The sequence below is a fragment of the Homo sapiens genome, chromosome 5 (genome assembly GCF_000001405.40).
Source record: "Homo sapiens chromosome 5, GRCh38.p14 Primary Assembly".
Classification (NCBI taxonomy): Eukaryota; Metazoa; Chordata; class Mammalia; order Primates; family Hominidae; genus Homo; species Homo sapiens.
In genome coordinates this window covers 64,160,208-64,186,620 of record NC_000005.10, presented here as the reverse complement: position 1 = coordinate 64,186,620, position 26,413 = coordinate 64,160,208, and the positions used below count along the sequence as shown (strand labels likewise).

The window sequence follows — 26,413 nt, the reverse complement described above, 5'->3', positions numbered from 1 at the left end:
TATTCAATAATTATTTGCTGAGAAACTATTATTTTGTCCCAGAACATAAAGAATAACAAAGACACGTGCTATGAAAGCATATGAGAGGGTGAGAGGGGTTCTAAGCCAGTTGACTGGGAGAGAACAGGCAAAAATTGTCAGGGTTCTCAAAGGAAAACATCTAAATAAAGACTTGAGCCTGAGGTCAAATGGAGCCTTCTTCCTCCCAAGTGCTTCTCAGGCTGACTTCTTAGAAGGGGAAATACGGGCTAAAACATATTTACCTTATGTTAAATATATTAATATGACATAAAGTGTTGTTTTAACCAAATGTTGATAATAAGTATTTGTCTGATTTGCCATACTCTTACTAGATATATTCTTCTTGATGTATCAGTAATCAAGAAAGGATTCAGATGAAAGGTGGCTGCACAGACAAGCACACTGACTTGGCTTCAAAATCCTTTTTACTTCAGGGCAAGAGGAATTGTCACATACAGAGACATTTTGTTTGATGCAGAGGCAACTATACTAGGTTACCTCAAAAGATACGGCTCCAAAAAATTGCCAGATAATGGAGAAAAAAAAGCAGGTATTTCCTAGCAGATAAAACACTGGCCAATAAAGCACTGCCTGGGAAGCCGAGAGACTTGGGCTTGTTTACTTACTTATCCCACCATCTTCCCCAAAAGAGAGTTTTACATTCCTAGCACTTTTATTGTTTGCTCTGTTCCTAAACAGCTTTTACCTTTGTTCATCTGATACCTTTGTTCATCTGTTACTTATGCCTTTATGTTGTACTTATGTCTTTGCATCACCAGATAACACACTAATGAGTACATCTGATTCTTCCTCTACTTGTAAACTCCCAGAGATAGGGCATAAGCAGTAGCTCAAGTTTTTGTAGTCCCCCTCAATACCACAGGCTGCCTTGTATGTGACTATATATGTTGCTGAAATGAATTTGTGGCAATTAGAGCTACTGTTCTCTCTTTGGGCATTGAAAGGAAATCCAAACATATCAGGTATAAACCACATTCTTTATTTCATTTAAATTCACCTAAGAGCCAAACCAATGTTTAAATACATTAGGTTGAATTACATGGGAAAAAAACCTAATTAGAAACTAAATTATGATTTACATACTCATATGCTTCTGGTTGAATCAAAATGCTTGTCCTAGTATACAATACGCTTCTACAAGCTTCTGCCCTTTCCCTAGTAAACTCTTAATTTACTCATAATTACATAAAGAAAAGAAAAATGAGATAAAGCAGTACTTTTTAAATGAATTATCATATTTATTTTTAAATAAAACTCTGAGTGTAAAACAGGACTATGTTTATGAAAAGTATCAACTAACTAATCTACCAGACAAACACTGTTATGATGAAAAATGCTGCTACAGGAATATAGCCAAAAGTTAGATTAAGGTGATAGCAGTGAAGGTGTTAAGTTATCATCAAATTCTAGATATATGCTGAAAGTAAAGCAGAGATGATTTCCAGACAGATTGGATGTAGAGTCTATGAGGATCTAAGGATCTCCAAATTCTTTGTCATAAGCAACTGTAAAGATGAAACTGCCATCAACGGGTAAGGGAAAGGGTGCCAGTGAAACAGAAAGGACAGTCAGGAGTTTGGTTTGTGATATATTTAGGTATGAGATCTCTGAACAAAAGATTTAAATGTGGGATGGTTCTCTAAAGCCATGAAAATAAATGATATCTACAAGGTTGTGAGCATGGACAGAGAAAAGACCAAAGACTCAGCCCTGGGTTTACCTAAATTTTCTGGGGATATATTAACTCTCATTCATTTCCTCATGGATTGAAGACTAGCATGTGACCTTGAGAATCTGCCCCTCCTGGAAACAGAGTTTCACACCATATCCGCCAGGTGTTCCAAAGGCATCACCAGCCCAGGGATACTTTATATAAATTTCTCAGTTTGGAAGTCTTTGGCTCACCCTAATAGTATAAATTCAAATCCCCAAACCTGAAATTTTAGGATTCTCAGGTGATATGGAGGATGTCAGAATCTAAAAATGAATTTAAAAAGAGAAAGAATCCAATCAAGCAGTTATTGTACCTTTGCAATACAGACTATTTCACGGTAACCAAATAGTTGGTGAGCAAAAATTCTTCAGTATAGAAGCACAGTGCTAAAAAATGAAGGGTGATTATATTAAAATTACCATTTTTGACCCCGATGAAATAATGGATCTAGACAAAACCATCAATAGATGTTAAACAATTAGAAAAAAAAGATAATAAAGTACTTTATAATGGGCAAATAAGGCTGTTCCCACTAACACTCAAAGATCAAACCAAAATCACTAAAAACAGGACAACGGTATGAGTTTGCTAGTACTACCATAACAAAGTACCACAGACTGGGTAGTTTAAACAACAGAAACTTATTGTCTCACAGTTCTGGAGACTAGAAGCCAAAAATCAAGACATCAGCAGGTTTGGTTTCTTCTGTGACCTCTCTCCTTGGGCTGCAGATGGCTGTCTTCTCAATGTGTCCTCACATGATCTTTCCTCTGTAGGCACACATAACCAGTAGGTCTTTATGTGTCCAAATTTGTTCTATGTATAAGGATACCAGTCAGATTGGATTAGGGCCCACACTAACAAACTCATTTTAACTTAATCACCTCTTTCAAGTCCCTATCCTCCAAATAGCCATGTTCGGAGGTACTAGGAATTAGGCCTTCAACACATGAATTTGGGGGTGCCCAATGCAGCCTAATAAAGCTATTATAGAGACTGATGTTTTAGAAAATCCATTAAAGAACACAGTCTGAGTTTCAGGACATCATATGTGGTTTGATAACTATATGTTACTATGCTGTTTATGAAACTATCCATCAAAAAATGTATACTTTTTGACTGGGAACAGTGGCTCACGCCTGTAACCCCAGCACTTTCAGCGGCCAAGGCGGGCAGATCACTTGAGGCCAAGAATTCAAGACAAGCCTGGCCAAGAAGGTGAAACCTTATCTCTACTAAAAATACAAAAATTAGCCAGGTGTGGTGGCACACGCCTGTAATCCCAGCTACTCAAGAGGTTGAGACATGAGAATTGCTTGAACCAGGGAGGTGGAGGTTGCAGTGAGACAAGATAGTGCCACAACACTCCAGCTTGGGCAATAGAGAGAGACTGAGTCAAAAAAAAAAAAAAAAAAAAAAAAAAGGTATACTTTCTCCCTTTTTAATAGGCAATAGGCCAGAAAGTGGTATATCCTTCATATATTTGAAACTAAAATTTCCATATATAAAACATGAAATCAAAGCATTAATATTATTTTTTAAACTAGCTATCATTTTTTAGTGTAGTACTTATTAAGTGGCATTAGTTCCCTTAATCATCAAGACATTCCTATGAGGTAGGGACTGTTAACTCCATTTTATAGATGAGGAAACTGAGTCCTAGAAGTTAAGTGACTTCTGAAATTATTCCCATCACTTTGTGAGGAAGATGTTCTTATTTTCTAGTCTTGAGATTTCTAAGGATGAGAAGAGTGAGATGCATTGAAGTTTTGACAGAGAATTCTAAGCTGATGGTCACATACTGAAATGGAGGATGCAACAAACATCATTGGTTGTCCTCCCCAACCTGCTGGCATCTTAGCCGGCTACAGTAGCAGAAGGTAAGGAATGGAAGCAGCAACTAGCTCCGAGATGGAATGTCAAGATCTATATTCAGTCTTGATCACCTTTTACGTGACATCGGAAGTACTCTCCTTTAGCCATTCTAAAAATAAAACAGGGTCCAATACATTGACAGGGTCTGCAAAGACTCTGCACACATTACTATCTTACCATATGAATACTGGTGGCCTTCTTTACTTTAAACTTTTTCTTTGCTTTTGTGTACTTTTCTCCCTTTCTTCAGGAGTATGGAATCTGCATCAAGACATACTCAATTTGCTATCACTTATTCTCGTATAAACTTACTACTATCTGGCAGTAAATGCCTCTGGAGACAGCTGTTCTATATAGTCCTTCAGCATGAATCTCCCTGAAATTCAGTAATACTCTTAGATCTTACGCTAAGATAAAGATTTAGCTTATAATACTAAAACAGCCAAGCTGTCCCAGTTATTTCTTCTGTCTTCTCATTCACTGAGGCCCTTGGAGGCTCCTGAAGTATGCAATTTAGCTTGTTTTCTTTGAATGTTTCCAGACACTAATGTTTCCTACATTCTGAAGTTACTCATGACTGTTAGTAAATTCAACAACCCTAGTTTCACAATAAAATATTTAATGGTGATTAGTGAAGATCCTCTAAAGCAATTGGATTGATTCATTTTGTGAAATTTCTTTAAAATAAATTTTTTGTGAATCACATTATTTAAGAAAGTAGCTGTAATCCCAGGACTTTGGGAGGCCAAAGCGGGCAGATCACGAGGTCAGGAGATCAAGACCATCCTGGCTAACACAGTGAAACTCCGTCTCTATTAAAAATACAAAAAAATTAGCCAGGCGTGGTGGTGGGCGCCTGTAGTCCCAGCTACTCGGGAGGCTGAGGCAGGAGAATGGTGTGAACCTGGAAGGCGGAGCTTGCAGTGAGCTAAGATGTGCCACTGCACTCCAGCCTGGAAGACAGAGCGAGACTCTGTCTCAAAAAAAAAAAAAAAAAAAAAAAGACAGTAGCAGTTGCACTTTTCCCTCATACAAAATCTTATAAGGAACCCCAAAATGTTAACCTGACCAAAGCAATTAAGGGGTTAAATATTTCACTATTTGCAGAATCCCTGAAACACAGATTGAGCACTACTGATATAAAACACGGTGTTCATAAACACTATCAATTACTGAAATTAATGTTTTATTACAATTATTTTCAATAATAAATCTTCCCTTGTTCCATAGTATTTCAGAGGTTTCATTTCAGGCTGCTTTATTTTTCTTCGTACACACAGCGAGATTACAGAGAGATCTGCCCAGACTTTGGTGTCAAACAGACAAGCTGAGGGAAACTACCCATGATCACTTTTCTGCCCATCTGCTCCTATCTAGGCAAAGGTTGCTGACATACAAAGCACTCAGTCCTGTTCACCTATCCTTAACAGGCCTTTACCACCTGATTTTTAGCTCAATATTTTTCAGAGAGGGCATTTTTCAATACCCTTTATTGCCTACCTGTTTTTCTGGGAGAGGAAACCCATTTAAAAAACTGTAATTGCCATTGCTACCACACATAATCAACAGGGTTCTTTTTGTGTCAGAGTAGGATAAAATGGCAAAGTGAAACACTGATAAAATTTTAACTTCTGCAAATGCTTTGTGGTACCCACGTGTGATGGTTAATACTGAGTGTCAACTTGATTGGATTGTAGGATGCAAAGTATTGTTCCTGGGTGTGTCTGTGAGGGTGTTACCAAAGGAGATTAACATTTGAGTCAGTGGACCGGGAAAGACAGACAGACTCACCCTTAATTTGGGTGGCACCATCTAATCAGCTGCCAGCGAGGCTAGAACAAAGCAGGCAGAAGAACGTGGAAGGAGCAGGCTTGCTGAGTCATCCAGCCTTCATTTTTCTTGTGTGCTGGATACTTCCTACCCTCGAACATCAGACTCCAAGTTCTTCAGCTTTTGGACTCTTGGACCTATACCAGTGGTTTGCCATGGGCTCTCAAGCCTTCAGCGACAGACTGAAGGCTGCATTGTTGGCTTCCCTACTTTTGAGGTTTTGGGATCCAGACTTGTTAGTTCTGCCCCTCTAGAGAACCCTAATACAACATGACAAATTCCCCTTCTGCCTAGTAGCTTCCTGGAATTTGCTGGGAACACAGGAAATGAAAGAAATTCAGCAGTTTCTGCCTCACAGAGTAGTATCTGAGAATCTGAGAGGCGAAAAGGGATGTCTTTCCATTTTGCCGTTGGTAGAAGTTCTATGAAGGAATTGACTACAGGGGAAGAATAATGCCTCTTAGCTTGTATCTATCAGGTTGTTTATATCTTGAGGCAAGGGTGGGGTATGCAGGTGCTAAAGTAGAGAAATTCCTCTCAACCTAAGACCATATGCTTCTTAATTAAGGTACTTCCTCCTGCTTTCTGTGTTTTTGAAGTTTTTAAGTTTTGGTTTTGTGGTAAATTTTGATTTTATTCTACATCTTCATAGGAACTTAATGAAAAATGAGAAAATGGTACACTGGAGGCTGCTAGCTGCCATTTCTGAACCAGAAGGAGTCTTCACATAATTTTTTAAAAATTCATAATTTTACACAAATTTTAATGAGCAATTGTATGGCATGTTTACTTCTTCATTTATTTATTTATACCCTGCCTTATCTACAAACAAATTTTGAAAGTAAGATATTACAGAAAGCTGCAAACCTTGAGCTCAAACTTGTGACTATAGGCTGGGTCATGTTTCAAAAAACAGAGTAGAATAAAATGGCAAAGTGAAACACTGATAAAATTTTAACTTCAGTATAAGAAAAGACAAAATTAATGACAACCCACAGACTGGAAGAAGAAATCTGCAAATATAAGCAAATGGTTAATAGCTACAATTAATTCTACAAAACAAATTTTTTAAAAGAAAATTATCCAGCAGAAAAATGAACAAGGAGTATGGAAGTGCAGTTCCTAGAGGAGGAAAGCCAAATGGCCAACAATTATATAAAAAGTGTTCAACCTCACCAGAAATCAGGAAAATGAAAAATAAAACAAGGTTCCCGTTCACACTCATCACACTGGGAAAAATTAAAAAGTCTTACAATACCAACTATAAAAATGATCTGGAGCAACAAGAAGAATCTCAAAAACTGCTACGGGGAGGTATAACTAGGCACAATCATTTTGGAAAGCAATTTGATAATGTCTGATAAAATAAAATATGTCTATCCATGGATGTGCAGTTCTACTTCTAGGTTTGTATATGAATAAGGAAACATATCATATGGGAATGTTCATTTTAGCAACACTTTGCAATAATATAAAAAAACTGGAAACAACCCAAATGTGCATCAATTGATTTGATAAATATTTGTTCATTCATACAATGGAATACTATATAGCAATGAAAAGTAATAAAGCTGTATGTATCTAGAAAAAAATCAAAGTTATTTTAAGTAAAAAGGCTGCAGAAATATACACATTAAAGAATAACACAGCACAGTAAGATTTATAAAAAGTTTTAAAGCATGTAAAACAAAGTAATATTTTGTTTATTGATACATGCATGTGTAGCAAAAGCATAAGAACATGCACAGGAATGACAGACACCAAGTTTAGAATAGTAACCTCTAGGAAGAAACCAAAGGGGGCTTAAATTTTATCTGCATTTTTATTTTTAAAACAAAAAAGGAAAAATAGTAAAACATTAATATTTTCTAATACTAAGTGGTGAGAACACACAGATGTTCAGTATATTATTCTCTATATCGTAAATTTGAAATATTTTATTTAAAAAATTAAATTTTTTATTAGGAATCTGCAAACCACATATTTTCTATCCCATAAGTATTTGTGAATATGAAAAATATGAAACATTTATTTTGCTTTGAAGAGCACATAAAGTAGCATTCGATTTCCATTTAAGCCTTAGTTACTAAAAAGTATGATATATATTGGGGAGTGGGGAAGGAGCAGCAACAACACCTGGGTCAAAATGATAACCTGGGCAAGTAGTTCTCATTTATTGTGCATCTGAAATATCTGAAAGGTTTTTTTTAAAAGAATAGACGCTCAGGCCTCATCTTAAACCTGCTTGAATCAAAATGTCTGCATTGAGGACCATATACACAATAAGACTGAAAACCACTTGTCTATGAAAATGACACAAAAAGAAAAATGAGCAACGCTGATTGATTTAGAAAAAATATGTAGTTGGAATGGTGAAGGTACAGTTTTCCTAATGGCTATGTGGACAGTTCCATGTATTCTACCTATGCACTGTACAAGCAATAGAAAAATATAAAAAAATAAATTAAGAAGACACATTTAACAATACTACACAAGTTAATACCACAAGAAAAGAGGACAGTAGCTGCGTTTCATATGCAATGCATCAATCATACAATGTTCTTGGATGTTAGTAACTGAATTAGACTAGAAAAACATAGGTGCCTTTCAAGAAATAAAAACAGCACAAACAGGCATAAAACATTAACTGTAACTGAAACACTCTCTTGATATGATTACAGTGCTGGATATTCTTTGCTCCACATTCCAGAGTCTACTCTTTACCTTCTTAACTTTGCTCTAATTCCCAGGAGGCTGACTTTTGGACTGCTACATCAAGGCTCTCTTGCCTTTTGGCTTCCAATATTGTCTGCCAATGGAAAGCATCAGGTGGAGATCAAAGGACTGGAAAAGCGTGAGGCTGGGGTATATATATTCCCTCTGGTGCTCCCCTGTCAGATCATAGAAAGGCCAGAGTTCTTGTCAGGCAGGCTTTTCTTTTTTTTTTTTTTTTTTTTGAGATGGAGTCTAGCTCCGTCACCAGGCTGGAGTGCAGTGGCGCCATCTCAGCTCACTGCAACCTCTGACTCCCTGGTTCAAGCAATTCTCCTGCCTCAGCCTCCTGAGTAGCTGGGATTACAGGCACACACCACCATGCCCAGCTAATTTTTGTATTTTTAGTAGAGACGGGGTTTCACTATGTCAGTCAGGATGGTCTCAATCTCCTGACCTCATTATCCACCCACCTTGGCCTTCCAAAGTGCTGGGATTACAGGCGTGAGCCACCACGCCCAGCCCCAGGCAGCCTTTTCTACATAGTTTCCATGTGGGTTTCAGTAATGGTCCTTCTTTTGCCTCTTCAAGCCTAGGGATGATAATGACTCTCATTATTGCTAGTCTTGGGGTGCTTCACCATCCATTGTTGGTTTATTTTAACCTAGAGACACCTATTTAAATTAAACTCATCTCAGTTACCTCATCTGAGTATGTCATCTATTTTCTACCAGAACACTGACTAACATTACTAAGTTATGCTTTATACCAGAGTATCAGAGTAATAAATTTCTTCTGTAGATCTAACCTTATAAGCTGACATATACTGCTATTAACCACTGTTCTAGGTATTATGTATGACTCAGGAAAGAAATAAATACATATATATATATATATATATATATATATATATATATATATGGCATAATTTATGCCTTTGAAAAAAATCTAGATAGAGAACAAGTTCATGGCCAAAATAAGTAAAATAATTGAGAACACAGAAAATAACTAGCAATTAAGTAGTATCAGATAAACTAAGGGCAAGAAACAAGAATTAGGGAGTCAGGGAAAGCTTTGTGAAGAGAGTAGTCTTCCAGTTGGGTCTTAAAGTATAGAGGGGATTTAAATAGCATCAGCCAAGTAGAATGAAGAGATATGGACATCTAAAACAAGGAAAATAAATAAGCCAAAACACTAAGTCGGGAATGTGTAGGGTTGTTTGGCTAGCAGTAAGTATAATGTTTGACTTGAGCAGAGAAAGCTTTATTTCTGACTCTACAGCCTTAGTAGTTCTAAGTCAGACACGTGTAGCTATACAAATATCTATTATACACTTCACGTATCATCAGAAAACAGTCTGAGAATTAACAAATTCCACCTTGAAACCAGAGATCTGAGCAAAATTTGGCCAGAAAGATAGAAGTTCTCCTTATGCAGTTAATTTCTAACTCTATTAAACAAACTTTGAGTAGACAGCCCCCAATTTACCTATAATACCATTGGCCCACACGTCTATTCTCTTCATTCCTTGCTGCCCAAAATATGTGTCCATACTTCAATTTTGGCCTCTAGGATACATTTTTTCAACAGGTTTCTGAATAGGCTAGGCAATTCTCATTCAGAACAAGCCTCACTGTTTATTTCAGCAATTTTACCAAGGATGTTTTAAAGCTGCTTTTAAACAGCTGTGGTTGTTTCTAAGGTTTTCCAGATATCAAACCATCAGTGAACTAATCAGGTAAAGAGATTATAAAACATAAGGACAATTCAGTTACTAACAGAATGTTCTCCAGTATTTCTGCTTGCTATGGAAAAATTTATCAAGATTAAAAAACTCAGGAGTTTCAATTTCCTCAGCCAGCTTTTTTATGAAACTCAGCCGTCATTTCTCAAAAATTTTCTAAAAATCTAAGAAAGCAAGAAAACACCTTGTTAATAGTGATGTCATCAAGATGGCTGACTAGAAGTACCTGGCATTCCCCACAAAAAGGGATTTTTTCGAGAAGAGACTAAAAAGAACAATACAAAAGATAAGCACAACAGAGCTGGTTTTCTGGAAAGATAAACAAAATTAACAGAACCTTAAGAAAAAGAAGATAGGAGACTCAAATAAAATTAGAAATGAAAAAGGGGATATTACAAATGATACTACAGAAATACAAAGGAAAATATTATGAAAACTATATGCCAATAAATTGGAAAACTGAAAACAAACTGACAAATTCCTAGATATATACGACCTACCAAGATTGAACTATGAAGAAATAGAAAACCTTTACATTAAGACCAATAATAAATGAGGAGATTGACTCAGTAATAAAAAGTCTCACATCAAAGTAAAGGCCCAGGATTTGTGGGCTTCACTGCTGAATTCTATCAAACATTTCAAGACTAATACCAGTTCTTCTCAAAATCTTCCAGGATTTATAAAATCCTAAAGACTCCACCAAAAAACTGTTAGAACTAATTACCAAATTCAGTAAAGTTGTAAGATACAAAATCAATATATAAATTCAGTAGCATTTCTATGTGCCAATAGAGAATTATCTGAAAAAGAAACCAAGAATGCAATCTCATTTGCAATAACTACAAAAAATTAGATGCCTGGAAATAAATTTAACCAAGCATGTGAAAGATCTCTATTGTAAAAATTATAAAATATCGATAAAAGAAATTGAAGAGGATGCAAATATATAGAAAGATATTCTGTGTTCATGGATTAGATTGTTAAAGTGTCCACAGTACTCAAGGCAATCTACAGATTTAATGCAATCCCTATAAAAATACCAATGACATTTTTCAAAGCAATGAAAAAAAATCCTAAAATTCATACAGAACCACGAAAGACCCCAAATAGCCAAAGTAATCTTGAGCAAAAAGAATAAAGCTGGAGATCATATTATCTGGCTTCAAAATATACTACAAAACTATAGTAATCAAAATGGTATGGTACTGCTATAAAAATAGAAAAGCCAATGGAAGAGAATTGAGAATATAGAAATAAATCCACACACTTACAACCAACTGATTTTTGATAAAGGTATAATAAGCACATGTTAGGAAAAGGACTGTCTCTTAAATAAATGATACTGGAAAAACTGAATATCCACATGTAGAAGAACGAACTAAACCCCCGTCTTCTACCATATGAAAAAAAATCACCTCAAAATAGAAACGGATTGGCGAGGCACAGTGGCTCATGCCTGTAATCCCAGCTCTTTGGGAGTCCGAGGCGGGCATATCACCCGAAGTTGGGAGTTCAAGACCAGCCTGACCAACATGGAGAAACCCCATCTTTACTAAAAATACAAAATTAGCCGGGTGTGGTGGCACATGCCTGTAATCCCAGCTATTTGGAAGGCTGAGGCAGGAGAATCATTTGAACCCGGGAGGTGGAAGTTGCAGTGAGCCGAGATTGCACCACTGCACTCCAGCCTGGGGGACAGAGCGAGACTCCGTCTCAAAAAAAAAAAAAAAAAAAAAAAAAAGAACTGGATTAAAGACTTAAATGTAAAACCGGAACCTATCAAACTACCAGAAGAAAACATGAGGGAAATGCTTTATGACCTTGGTCTGAGCAATGATTTTTTGGATAAGACCTCAAAAACACAGGCAACAGAAACAAAAATAGACAAGCAGGATTATATTTATATTTAACTAAAAAGTTTCTGCACACCAAAGGACACAATCGATAAACAGAACCTATAGAATGGGAAAAATATTCGCAAACTATGCATCTGAGTTAATATCCAGAAGATATAAGGAACTTAACTCAACAGTAAAATAATAATAATCTGATCAAAAATGGGCAAAAGACCTGAATAGATGTCAAAAGAAGACATATAAATGGCCAACGGGTATATGATAAAATGCTCAACGATCACTAACTGTTTGGTAAATATAAATGTAAATTAAAATCACAATGAGACATAATCTCACCCCAATTAGAATGGCTGTTATCAAAAAGAAAAAAAAATAACAAATGCTGGAATGTATATGAAGAACGAGGAATTCTTACATACTGTTGGTGGGAATGTAAATTTGTCCAGCCATTATTGAAGACAGTATGGAGGTTCCTCAAAAAATTAATAGTGAACTTCAACATGATCCAGCTATCCCACTTCTGGGTATATATCCAAAGGAAATGAAATCAGTATGCTGAAGAGACATCAGCACTCCCATGTTTATTACAGTACTATTCACAATACCCAAGATATGGAATCAATCTAAGTGTCCATCAAAGAATGAATGGATAAAGAAAATGTGGTATATATACACAATGGAACACTATTCAGCCAAAAAAAGGGATGAAGTCCTGTCATTTGTGGCAACATGGATGAGTCTGGAGGACATTATATTAAGTGAAATAAACCAAGCACAGAAAGACAAAATCTGCAAAATCTCACTCATGTGCAACCTAAAACAGTTATGTCAGGCCAGGTGTGGTGGCTCACGCCTGTAATCCCAGCAATTCGGGAGGCCAAGGCAGGTGGATCACGAGGTCAGGTGTTTGAGAACAGCCTGACCAAGATGGTGAAACCCTGTCTCTACTAAAAATACAAACATTAGCTGGGTGTGGTGGTGCATGCCTATAATCCCAGCTACTCAGGAGGCTGAGGCAGGAGAATCACTTGAACCCGGGAGGCAGAGGTTGCAGTGAGCCGAGATCATGCCATTGCACTCAAGCCTGGGTGACAGAATGAGACTCCATCTCAAAAAAAAAAAAAAAAGTTGATGCTATAGAAGTAGGGAGGAAAACAGCAGTCACCAGAATCTGGGAAGTAGAAAAGGGGAGAGAGGGAAAAGGGAAAGGGGAAAGGGAAAGGAGGAGGGAGAGAGATTGGTCAATAGGTACGAACTTGCAGTTACGTACAAGGAATAAGTTTTGGTGATCTACTGCATAGCAAGATGACTATAGTTAACGACACTATATTGTATATATTTCAAAATACCAAGAAGAGAGAATTTTGAATGTTCTCACTATAAATGAAAAATCTTTGAGGTAATAAATACCTTGATTTAATCATCATACAACATATACATGTATCAGAACATCACACTGTACCCCCAAATATGTACAATATATGTCAAAAATGTGTCAATTATAAATAAAAGTACAGTGAAATTAAATGGCTATTTACAAAAATATGACAACAAAAATTGTATATACATTCAAGATACATTCAAGAAATATGTAAAATTATTCTCATTTAAATGTTATTGGGTGGTTTCTACTTTGGCTGGGAATTCAAGTAATTAAAATTTGTCTCTGTAAAAGAAAATAAAAACCTTAATTAAATGGTTAATATATACTGTATCAAGGATATTTGGTTTTGGTTAATATGATTCTATTTTTTGTACAGTTTGCTGTATACTAGGGACAAAAATCTAACAGGCAAGGATGGCAATTTGTCTGGATCTAAGAGTCATTACCAGGATAATTATTTAACATTTCCCAGTGGTTCCAAACCCAAATACTCTTTTATCCCAGGTCCCCTGAATTCTAAACAGTTGACAGTGGTAGAACTATGTTCAGCCTTTTTTAGCATTCCCACTGACCATGACAGTCAATATCTATTTGCTTTCACCTGGAATAATCAACAGTGTACCTGGACAGTCATGCCTCAGGGGTTCACTGAAGCCCCCTCCTACTTCTCTCAAGTGCTCCATCAAGACTTGAGCACACCCTCCAGTATCGAGGGTCAACTCTCCTGCAATACACGGAGGACCTCTTTGTTCGTGCACTGAGGAGGCATCCTAAGAGTATTTCATCTACATATTAACAGTTAACAGAGAAAGGACATAACGTCTCCATAGAAAAATTACATTTATCATCAGATACTATTTACTATTTAAGACATGATCTAAGTGCTGCAAGTATCCAAGTCTCCTAAAAAACTTAGGCTCATCCACGATTTTCCCAGGCCCAGAACTAAGAGACAACTTAATATGTTAGTAGAGTTAGTTGCATATTGCCATCTACAGGTTCCTAAATCTTTACTCTTAGCATCCCAACTTATTGAACTCACTAAAAATTCAGTTCCTAAACCCATTCCTTGTGGGGGGTGGGGGGAGACATGAGGCAGCCTTTGTAGAATGAAAAAGGGTAGTACAACAACCCCCAGCCCCCTGCTTTAGAATTGCCCAATGATTCAAAACCTGTAATCCTTTTTGTACATTAAAGCAGGCACTGGGGAGTACTCACACACATACCTGTGCCTGAATTTTACCTAAAAATCAGTCTGTCAGCATTTACGCTAACAGTCACTATGCATTTGAAGTGGTTTGTGATTTTGAAACACTTTGGAAGCAAAGATGTTTCCTCACTTTTTCAGGCATACCAATAAAAAGTGGCCCACAAGTTGATAAGCTCCTTGCTGGATACTGATGCCCAAAGACATTACTGTTATAAAAGAAGAAGCTCAAACAAAGAGAACTGAGGCTGAATAGCAGGTAAGTACTCCAACTGATTTTTGTGCCAAAGATGTTACCCAACTCTGTGAGGTCTTTTACCTAAATCCAACAGCTGGAAACAGTAAGACATGCTCCCTGCTACTTAACTTTGCTTCCTTATACCCAGATGCTGTTAGTTATTGGTGGGGGGGCGGGGTGGAGAAGGCCTCTAAAAATTAAAACAAATTTTAGGAATGAGAAGGATGTTCTTATAATTTCCTTTCCAAGTTCTGGGAAGGCCAAGACAGCCACTTGGTACTCCAAAGGTCACTTAAGGGATATTTGTTATGCTTCTTACATTCCCTTATCCATAATGGTACTGACAAGATAGATCAAATGATCAAAAAGTTGTGGTGGGAAAATTGTTATAAAGTTATAAAAGCTATTTAAAATCAATATTTAAGCTGGCAAACTCATAATCCAAGAAAGTTCCCCTGGAATGACCACCCCTCACTCCAACCATTAGGCCCATTTGAACATGTACAATGAGACTTCATCCACTCCCACCAAGCATGTACTTGCAATAGTCTGTATGTGCCTGTTATAGTCTATATGTTCTCTGGATGGGCTCAGGCCTTCCCATGTCAAAAGGCTGACAATGCCCTTACTGTAAAACAAAACTGCCAAAAGTAGTACTTCACACCTGCGGTATATACTGAATGCCATTTCAAGTAACTGAGCCACTCATTTTACTGGACAGTTAATTCATGCTCTACTTAAATTTTTACAAACAGTCTAGCATTATCATTGTCGTTATCCCCCTCAGTCCTCTGGTAAGGTCGATAAAATGAATGGGATACTTAACCTCAGAATTTCCAACTTTTCTGAAACCACTAGCCTTCTTTGGCCTAAAATTCTGTCTCTGGCTCTTATGACTCTTCAGAGCCACAGTGCTGGAAAACACAAGTTAACTTCTTATGAAATTACTGCTTGTTACTCTATATCGTTGACTATTACTCCAAATGTAGATCCCTAATAGACCTATGTTGAAATGACCCAATACTGTACATTCTTAATGCACTATGCCAAAAGTTATCACCAACAGGTAAAGGAAGACTTTCAAGACACAGAACCAAAAAGGCTTGTTGGAACCTGGTGACTGGGTGTTCTCGAAATGTCTTCAAAGAAAGACTGCTCTTGAATCCCACTGGAAAGGACCATACCAAGTGCTCCTGACTACAGGCATAGCAGCTAAACTCAAAGGTGTTGACCCCTGGATTCACATCTCCCTCATAAAAGACCACCTCCTGATGCCACCTGCTTCTCTTCTTAAGCCACAGACCTTAAAAAATCAGGTTAACCAGGATAAGAAGCTGATGACTTCACACTGTGGATGGCTTTTCCCAAGACATCAGAAAAAGATCCTCCATCATAATAAGATTCTTATCCCTCTTAATTTTTCCTTTCTTATGCCTTTTCCGCTAGGCAGGATAATACTGTCATAACCAGTTGCTTCTGTAGGTAACTTCACAGAGTGTTGGATCTGTCCTGCCAAACCCAAATCTTTACATAACTTAAAAGATCTTTTAATCTACTCAGTGGCTAACTTAAAAACACCCCGAACACAACTGCTTGTTTAAATTGTGCTACTGGTCCCTCTTATAGAGTCAGATTTCTAGACCCACTTGTTCTCTCTCCCTGTTTTAATTTAATCCAGTCATGGGATACAAGAACCAAGTCCAAATGAGTGTATCATAAGACAGGATTGTACCAAAAGCCTGAATAGAGTTTATTTCAAACTGACTTAGTGCAAACATATTAGTTTTTTAACCTTGGCTAGAAACTGCTAAATCCACCATTCCAAGCAATATATCCACAAACAACAGAACTGGGAAGCAGTCCTTATGTGCACCCACAGGGTGTATCATTATTTGTGGATAACTCTGTGGCCAACCTTATACACAGGCAACCTCATGCCTTGACAGGTAGAGGATGAAGGGTCAATGTGGGCTAAAAATCTAAATGGTAAGTTGTCACTCCATAATCCAGAAGTGGAATACTGGCTCACTCCTTACCTATGTCATAGATTAAAGAGAACACTGCCAAGAGGCATTAACCCTTTTGGATCGGCTTTGTTAGGTCCCTTTTCCTATGGCTTAGAGTAATACAAATGAAGTAATGATTAGAATTTATCCCGCGAAATAGCCTCTATAGAAGATTCTACTGCAATGCTATAGCTGCACAAGACTTCTTTGAATTCTCTTGTTAAAGTTATACTAGGTATTAACAGAATTGCTCTAGATTTCTACTGGTCAAAGAGCGAGGAGTCTTTGCAGTTGGTAACACTTATTGTTGCACATGGATAAATTCCGGTATTATAGAGACTCAGTTGCAAAAAAAATTAAACAGGCTACTTGGTTAAAATAAGTGGATTCTTTGTCTTTCTCGTTCTTTGATCTGTCCAATTTCAGTGGGTTTGGTTCATGGGAACTTTGATTAAGAATCACATTCCAAACTCTTGGTATTATCTTTCTGATAGTCATAATGGTAGTCTCCCTAGTGTGCTGCATTCTCTCAAAAGTTTTAAATGACTGCATGCAGCAATCTGCTGAATGTCAATGATCTCTCTCCAGCTGATATGATAAAAACTCAAAGAAACCTATGATAATGAGGACACCTAACCTATTAATGACATGTTGAGACTGGAAACCCAGAATGATAGTAACTGAGAGTAGCGTTAATGCCCTAAGTTTTGGTCACACTCTCACTTAGGTGAAAGCTTACTGAAAGGACAGAATTGTTAAATAATATTTACAACAGGACGTTGTTTTAGACGGAGCTCCTCCACTAGGCCCGAAGAGATCAAACCAAAAGGGAGTCACTCATGCTCAGTGCCACATAATCAGTCTGAAACTGTAAGGAACTAGTTCAAAGACCAAACTAGTTTTTCCTGAAAACAGGAGATTTGCTGCAACAGGAAAGGGCTTAGTAAACCTAAGCTGGCATAAGTAGCCCCTTCTGCTTTAACACTTAAAAGTAACCTTAAGTAATCTGATGTTAACCAACAGACTTTTAAAAATACTCTGTTTCCTTGTTTCCACCTTACAAAAACCAACTATTCTGCCATGCCTAGGGCATGGCATTCTATTTTATGGAATGAGATGCTACCCAATTTCAGAATTGCTAATAAAAGCCAATTTGATATTTAAACTAAATTTGTCGAAATTTTTTCTTTTGACATCGGTGTGGTCAGGAAAGTCTGTTGCACACACAACTTGTTAATAACTTTTTTTTTGGAAATAGCAATTTTATATTTTGAGGCTATATTGCCTTGGCTGTATTACACTCAAAACATACAATATGGAGCCACATTTTATTATTCAAAATTGTTACAAAGATTTAAATTTAAATTTATGTGACATTCAAACTTCTCTATGAAATACACTCCCAATCTAACATTGTTCCAGTATGATGTGATCTACTTAATGTACTCTATTTAATATGTAAGTAAAATATCTGATTTCTAAGAAATCAATGTGATGAAAAGAGATAATTGATAGGTTACAACAGAGATTACATGCAAATGTGCACATACACACAGAACTTCAGCCTACAAGTAAGCACTGTCCCCTTTGTAGTAGACTTCTGGGAAGGTTGCAAATTCTAACAATGTCTGTCATTATTTTAAACTATTTTTAAACTGCCCTTTTAAAACTGCCTTCGTAGCCATCAGGACAATCCTTTAAATATCCTTAATAGTGGTAAAATCTTGAAGGTAGAACTGAGTTTTACAACCATGTAGAAATCATTCTGCCAAATTTAGCAAAGAAAATAGGTACTCAAGCTGAATTAGTTTTTTGATTAAAAAATAGAAACAAAAACAAGTGTTTATGAATGTTATCATGAAATGTTTTTATTTTGCTTGTAAATTGACTAGAAATTTCAAAAAATACAAAATAATTATGAATGGCAGCAGCACTACTGGAATAAGTTTTTAGCCTCCTGAGGTGACTACTTGGAATGACCACTCTCTAAAAATATAAACGACAGCACGTTTAAGGAGGGAAAATGTTTCAAGACTCTGCAATCACATTTCAAAGTTACAAAGCTGCTTTCTTCCGTGGAGTTCAAACTACTTTCGAGATATTACTTCATTAATTCCCCAAATATCCCTATGAAGGAAAGGACACATCACCATTCTTTTTTCAGATGGCCAAATGGAGGTGGTATAAGGGAGAGAGAACTGTGTTTATTCCATGAAAGCAACAATTAAGTCTAAGCACACTGTCCCCTTGTACTATGTAGTTAGCAAAATTTAAGCGAAATTTTTAATCTTTATGCTCCTTAATGAAAAAGACATTGTAAGAGTAAAAAGCATTATCATTCAGGTAGCTATGTCATATTACAGAAATATATTAAAATGATTAATTTATTGCATTCTTGCCTGGAAGAATTCCTGCTTCATGTATGAGGTGCTTATTAAAGAGGCTGGTGTCGGTCCTCAGACACACTCAAAAAAGTGCTAATTAAGTCTATTTTATCAAGAAAGAAATCTTGTTGATTTTTTCAATATTATTTTTTGAATTTTCGAAGAAAAAATCTTCACTTTGAAAAACCAAACACACAAAAAATGAAAGAGAGGAAGAAAAATGGGGTAATAAAATACCATTGACAAAACTAAGAGCAAACCCTAGGGAAACTGGTAAATTGTTGATGGTTCCAGAGAGATAAAGTACAACATAACACGTACACAATTACGAGATAATTTTTCATTACAATAATTAAAATGACTATTCTCCTAAATTTTTGATTCTTTATGAGAAAAAACTTACTCAAATATTCCGGGAAACCTAACAGCTCGCCTCCTCGATTCTACTTATTAAATAAATATTTAGAGTTTCTGCCATTGTCACCAAAGTATCTTTGGGCTGCCAGTGGCACTACATTTATACAAGAGACGAAAGTCTGACAGATAAAAGACAACGGAATTTTACTTCTTTCTACGACTCAAATGATACCACTCATTTGAAACTGAAGTGTTTATGATCTTTCAAGTATCACTTTTAGGGGTACTATAACAGGAGTCTGAAAGGAATTGACTCTATTTTTTAAGAAAGGTTTTAACAATTAATGAGTATATAAAAATACAATGAGCATCAGACCGTCCATCTTTGAGAGCTAAATTTTGTTTGAGACTAAGAGACCAACTGGACCAAGGACAACTCTAGTCAGACAAGTTCTAATCACAGATTCCACAAGGATTGACTGCTTAGTTTTGATATAATCACTTTGCCTCTTGGGTGCCTCAGCTGTCTGGTCTATAAAATGGGATAATAGTAACCCGACCGCATAATGCTCCTTTGAAGTTAACTAATGAATGCTCTCACAGATACACTTACAACTGTTAGATGCTACGAAAATAATGAGCACTATCTCGAAAAAAAACAAGGTGGAATATATGTGTTAGTGTTCATAACAGCACTAGTAATTTCCCACCAAAGGACCATCTCCCCACCTCCGCCCGATGGATTTCAGAGCTTATGACCTCTGCCTAGCAGAAAGTCGTACACTCCGGACCCAAGGCTGCAACAAAAGCGACTGCGACGCCGATACTGAAATGGGCTAGACAAAGGAAAGTGGAACCGTGCAGAGGGAATCGGCCGTGGAAGGGGCTGTGTGGTCCCCACAAGCTCCGAAATTAAACAAGACGCAGTTCCCCACCTCAGACCTGGAGAGGGTTCAGTACTGGACCCCTGGCACCCACCCCACCTTCCCCGGCCTCCTCCGCCACACCTACAGCGCCTCGCCTCCAGGACTCAGCTTTTTCGACCCTGTGTAATTCCAACCTCCAGGTGGGCGCGCCCCGAGGCCGCTCCGAGAGCCTCAGGTGCGAAAGTTAAGCCGCGGCCGCGTCACCTGAGGCCCGCCGGGCGAGAGGCGGCCAGGCCAGCGGCAACCCTAGCCCAGCCCCTTGGCACGTCCCCGCCTGGGCCAACGTGGGGGCCCGGGCCACCGCGGCTGGGTAGGGCCCGGCCGAGGCCAGGTCCCTCCGAGAGGCGCCGCCGCCGCGCCCCGCCCGACTCCGACCCGCCGGCCTTTACCTGTATCCACGTCCCGGAGCCTCCGGCTTCGCGCCCCGTCCCGGCGCTCCCGGCCGCCAGCAGCCAGGCTCTGAGGACTCGCTGCGGCTCCGGCGGCGGCGATGCCGGTTCGGCGAGACGGGAAGCGACAGGAGCCAAACCCCGCGGAAAGCGCTCGAGCTGTGCCTGCAGCCCCGACCCCGCGGCCTCGGACGTGGCGCCCCGGCGCTCGCCCGCCACAGCCAGCGGCCCTGCTCGCCCCACGTCTGCGGGTTCCCACCCGAGCCGCGCGTGGGCGGCGCCGGGCTTTGACCCCGCGCAGGCAGACAAGCGCCGCGGGCCAGACGGAACCGTGGGAAAGTTTTTCTCCCTTGTCATCCCCTTACCAGAGCCACAGAAATTATCCCTGTGGTCTCCCTTGTCCTCACTCGGCCTTTTCTGGAGTTAAGAGATCCAAGCCAACTACTGGGTCTGTTCCCTGCTAAAATCTTAGGCCGGCGTCCCATCCACCCATCCCCATGCCTAGGACTTTTAAGCTGGCAACGCTACCTGGGTTTAGTTTTCCCTTCGTATATCACTATCTTCGTTGCTTACCTTCTTGTGCCTAAAGTTCCACCGATGTGCAAGGAGATTAACCACTAAAGTGCACCTGACACTACTCTTGACAAATTGCAGTTGGGAGGTGAGTTGATGACTGGCGGTAAATCAAAAGTGCTTATTTAGGGAGTGAGGGGGCCGCGTGCAGTAAATGTTGACTTGCAGGTGCCTCATAGATGATCAAACGACTATAAATAAGATTCGGAATATAAAAAGCAAGTTTTATTAGTTGGCTTGAGGAGAGGGAAGGGAGCTAGGAGGGAACCTCAAAAAAAATATACAGCTTTGTTTCTCTGCTAGATACAGAAATTTTTATTTGCCTGAAGTGGCTTACTTGGAAACTTGTCCTAAGATTAGGGCTGTATGCAGTGACTTCCCATCTGGAAATACAAGGAAATAAAGAACAAAATGAAAGACATCACGAGAAAACTACAGACCAATATACCTTATGCATAGTAACATAAAAATCCTCAACAAAATACTAGCAAGCCAAACCCAGCAACATTTTAAAAAATTATACAACATGACCAAGTAGGATTTATCTCAGGAATGCAAGTTTGGTGTGACATACAAAATTAATGTAACACACTACTTTAAATAGACTAAATGTAAAAACCACATGATCATCTCAAAAGATGAAGGAAAAGCAATTGACAAAATCTAACACCCTTTCTTGATATAAACACTTCAACTAGGAATAAAAGGAAACTTCTTCAACCTAATAAAGAGCCTCTGAAAAATCCATAATTAACATCATACTTAATCTTGAAAGAATGAACATTTTCACCTAAAATCAGGAATAAGACAAGGATGTCAATTGTTGCTACTTCTATTCAACATTATAGTGGAGGCACTAGCCAGGGCAGTTAGGCAAGGAAAGGTGGAATATCTAACAGCTAGTAGAACAAAGAGAAGAAAGATAATTACCAAAGAAAACGAGGACAACAGTTCTCAGAGCTAAAGGACAGAAGCACATGAGCTCTCAGTTTAATGGATAAAAATTTTCTATAACCAAGTTGTGAAATTTCAAACCACATGAGTCAGAGAGATCTTAACTTTCATGGAGGAAAAAATAGGAGGTGATTTATGAAGATTTAGAAATCAGAATGGCATTGGATTCTCAACAGAAACATAAATAAAAGATAAATTCTGAGAAAAAAATGATTTCCAATTTTGAAATTGATGAAGTATGAGGTTTAAAAAGACATTTTCAAATATACAAAGGTTTAAATAGTATTTTCATGCATTCTTTCTCAGGAAGCAATTGGAGGATGTATTCTATAACAAAGTGGTTAGACAGAGAATCTGATAGAAAAGAGAAGTGAAGGTGACACCCGCAACAACTGTGGTAGGCAGAATGGCTCCCCCAAAATGTCCACATTCTAATCTCTGGATCCTGCAAAGATGTTACAGTATATAGAAAAGGGACTTTACTGATGTCATAAAAGTGACTGACCCAAATAGGGAGACTATTTCGGATTACCTACGTAGGCCCAGCCTAATCACATGAATCTTTAAAAGCAGAAAACTTTCTCCACCTAGAATCAGAAAGATGAGATGGCAAGAAATGTCAGAGAGCTTTGAAGCCTGAGAGAGACTTGACCTTCCTTTCCGGGAGGGAACCACCCTGGAAACACCCAAGAGGGAGAATGTGGGTAACTTCTAGAGGAAAAGATTGGCCTCCTGGCTGAATTTGCAGTGCTTCCTTTTTAAAGAAATAAACTTTTGGAGGTACAAGATTTATTACAAACAGGACTGAAAGAAGAAAGACAAGATGAAAGTCTTGATGCTTTCTAATTCAGTAATGTAATATAATCTCTTATTTCTGATGAAATCACAGGGATGAACTCAGAGAAATGATAAGGTTGACAAGTTTCACAAATAAAAACACAGGATGCCCAGTTAAAATTGAATTTTGGATAAACAGTGAATTAATTCTTAGTATAAAACACACTAAAAATATTTGGTTACTAAAAGTTAAAATTTAACTGGGTGTCCCATATTTATTGAGCAACCTTAAAAAGTGTAACTTCTGAGCAATGATTCTCAACCTTGGAAGCACATTGGAATAACCTGGAGTGCTTGTGAAAATACCAATGCCCTGTTCTTACTGTGGTACAATTCAATCAGAATTTCTTGATGTGGGATATCAGATGATTCTAAAGAAAAGTCAAGTATGAGAACCCATGACTCTAGAGAGGAATTAATTTGCACAGGTGTGATAAACTAAAAACAACCTCTCCAGTCATTTTACAACCAGAAGTGAAGAAACACTTTTTCCTTTAATAAACATCTTAACAAATATTCATCATCTCAAAGGTACAAACGAAGAGTATGATTTTCAATATTTCAGGAAGATCATTTACATTTTAGTAAAAAGACAGACAAAAACTCAGCTTTATGATTATAAGATACAAAATAAGTACAGATTTATTTTAACTACTAGGTAATTAGTATCTAAATATTAACTAACATTATCTCTCATCACACCGGATATAATGGCTAGCTGAATCTTTAGTCCTCCCAAAGCACCTGTGTCAATAATCTCATTACCTAACGGTTGAATTTTATAACCTCTAGCATAAATTATAATTTCCAACAAGACTGAAATAATAAAAAAATTTAATTTCTTCCTACAAACCCAACATTGTGTGATGCAATTCATGCCATTTGAGGCCCTAGCAGGACATTGGGTGAATTGGAAACAGCAGGAAGTTCAAAATTAGAGGTTTGAGTTAATGCACAGAGGTATGTGAGATTACCAAGAAAAGAGCAGAGAATTATTAGGAAAACCTTAGATTTAGGAGGCAGAGCAGAAGAAAACCTAAAGAAGTTCCTAATAGAAGGACTGGAAACCTAAAGCTTTCTATGCAAGTTTGAAGAGCAAATGCATAGTCGAACTGGACAAAGAGGCTAAAGAGAATGAGAAAAGGCCACTGGATATGCTGACTCTTGAGGCAGTGTAGAATAGCACAGGTGTGGAACTCTTCCTCGGCTTGAGTCTCAAATCTTCCACTTACAAGTGTATAACCTGAGAACAAGTTTCTTAATCTCTCTGTGCCTCAGTTTTTTCATCTGTAAACAGGAGATAATAGTAATATCGTAGAGTTATTGTGAGGTTTTAATGATTTTACCCAAGCAAAGTGCTTAAAATGATACCTGGTATATAGTAAGCACTCAATAAATATCAGCTATTGTTGTTAGTATTAATGATCTTTAAGAAACAGTTTCTGGAGAGCAGTGCCTAATGCACTGCTCGGTCCATTCCATCCAGAAGTGCATTAGTTAGGACTCATTTCAGTGAAGTGACAGAAACCTAACTCAAGTTGGCCCAAGGCAAATATTCACTAGTTTGTATGGATAAGCCTATGATAGCTTCAGGCATGTGTGGATCTAAGTGTTCTTATTGTTAGAAACAAATATTCAATGCCACAAAGTGAAACTAGCACTCAGGCAAAAGTTTTCTCAGCAAGGAAATTTACTTCTACAGAAGGGCACCTCTTGCTTACAAGGCAGAGGAAAGGGAGAGCACACAAAACAAAGGAGAGCAGGCGTTTTTTTAATCCCTAACACAGACCCTGTTCCTGTGTTATCCTGCTGTGGACCGGGGTCAGACCACACAATCTAGGCTAATTCCGATTGTCTACTGTTGGCATCATCAAAGGAGGCAAGGGGTGTTTGACAGGAAGGACAGGTATGGTACATCTTGGGGTGTTTGGGCATAGCAGAGATAGGGAGGGCTGATAGATGAATGGTTACGATTACCTTTTAGAATAGAACACAGAACCAGGAACTGAAACCCTTTGAAGAGGAACTGTTTGTTCTTAACAGCAATTTCCCCCTCTTGAATTTATATATTTTGTTATTCAAACTTACCTAACATGACTCAGCTTTGTTGTTCTTCCAGGAGAAATAATCTATTAGTATAAGATTGGGAAGAACTAAGGAAGGTGCTGGTAACAGCTGTTTCTATAAGTCTTTGGACTAGTCCACGAATGCAGGGTATGATGCAGCATCCAACAGGAATAAACACAGCTATTGCGATTGCAAGAGAAGTAACAATAGAGGCCATGAGTCCTTTCCATTTACCAAACCATTTCCCTAACCATCCTGTGAAAGGGTCATTTATCCCAGAATTTGTGGCTAATTCATTTGATAAGGAGGTAAGACCTTGTAAAGCTTTTGTAATTTTTCCATCAGGGACTGTATTGTTGGGAATGTAGGTGCAGCATTGGGTTCCTATTATAACACAAACTCCACCTTTTTCTGTTAATATCATATCTAGGGCCCATTCTGTTTTCCCAAGCCATCTGGCTAGTAGGCCCTAATTGTTTGGCTAATTCTTTGACAGCATCCCTAGCGTAATTAATTAGTCACTGCTGGTTATAATAGATGTAATTTATCCAATCTACATTTTTATTAATAGTTAGCCATGGAAATAATGATTCAAATCCTGCAGCTATTTGGTCTTGGGCTTCGAATCTATCATGTATCCCCTGTGGGACTCCAATTGCATCTATATAAACATGAGAGTTGAAAGATCCATGAGGGGCCTCTCTCGTTTTATGGTGTTGTGGTTTCCCTTTTTCTGGTTGATGAAATGCCAGGGTGAAATGGATGGCCAATTGAGTTAAAGCCTAAGTGCCTCTCCGGTTACTTGGCAGAGTGTCCAGTAGAGGTCCACCAAAATATCACCATATATCAGCATGGGGATGAACAAGGGCGGACTGATTGGTAAGCTATTGGAAAGATTTAAACTCACTGCATCCCTTCAAGTCTCCAAGAAATGCCAAATGTTGTCCCTGTAGTGAGAGACAAGAAGTAAAATTGGTGTCTGGAGATGGAGGCTGGATGGCTCTCAGGGGCTGACCTGCACGATGTTGAACTTCAGGGAATAGCAGAAAGTTCGACAGAATTCATTACCCCAGGCTGTGGGGTCTTGGAAAAGTGCCACCTTACAGCTCATGCCCAGCTGGTCAGAAAACCATCCAAGTGGAAAGGGGATAACTTGGGCCTCTGGCCTACCATGCGCACAAGCGTAATAGTCACTTTTATTTAGAGTGCGAACAGAATATTCAATCCATTCCATCCAGGCATTTGCATCGTGGTATCCTTTTTCAATTGCCAGTGTTTGTTTTAAATTTTTAACCTCTACAATAGCTATGTTGGT

At 38.2% G+C, this 26,413-nt stretch overlaps 1 protein-coding gene across 15 annotated transcripts in view; it reads right to left on the bottom strand.

The window, feature by feature from the left end:
• Window positions 1–21,270, bottom strand: part of RNF180 (ring finger protein 180) — a 207,519-nt gene extending 186,249 nt beyond the window's left edge. For 8 of the 15 annotated variants that reach the window (XM_017009383.2, NM_001113561.2, XM_017009386.3 and 5 more), the window contains exon 1: window positions 20,668–20,778. The gene's annotated coding sequence lies outside the window, so the exon portion shown is untranslated. Of the gene's footprint in view, window positions 1–20,363; window positions 20,635–20,667; window positions 20,779–21,195 lie in introns of those variants that run through there. The other 7 variants (XM_047417118.1, XM_047417120.1, XM_017009388.2 and 4 more) reach the window with 5 other exon arrangements.
• Window positions 21,271–26,413: the final 5,143 nt, after the last annotated feature.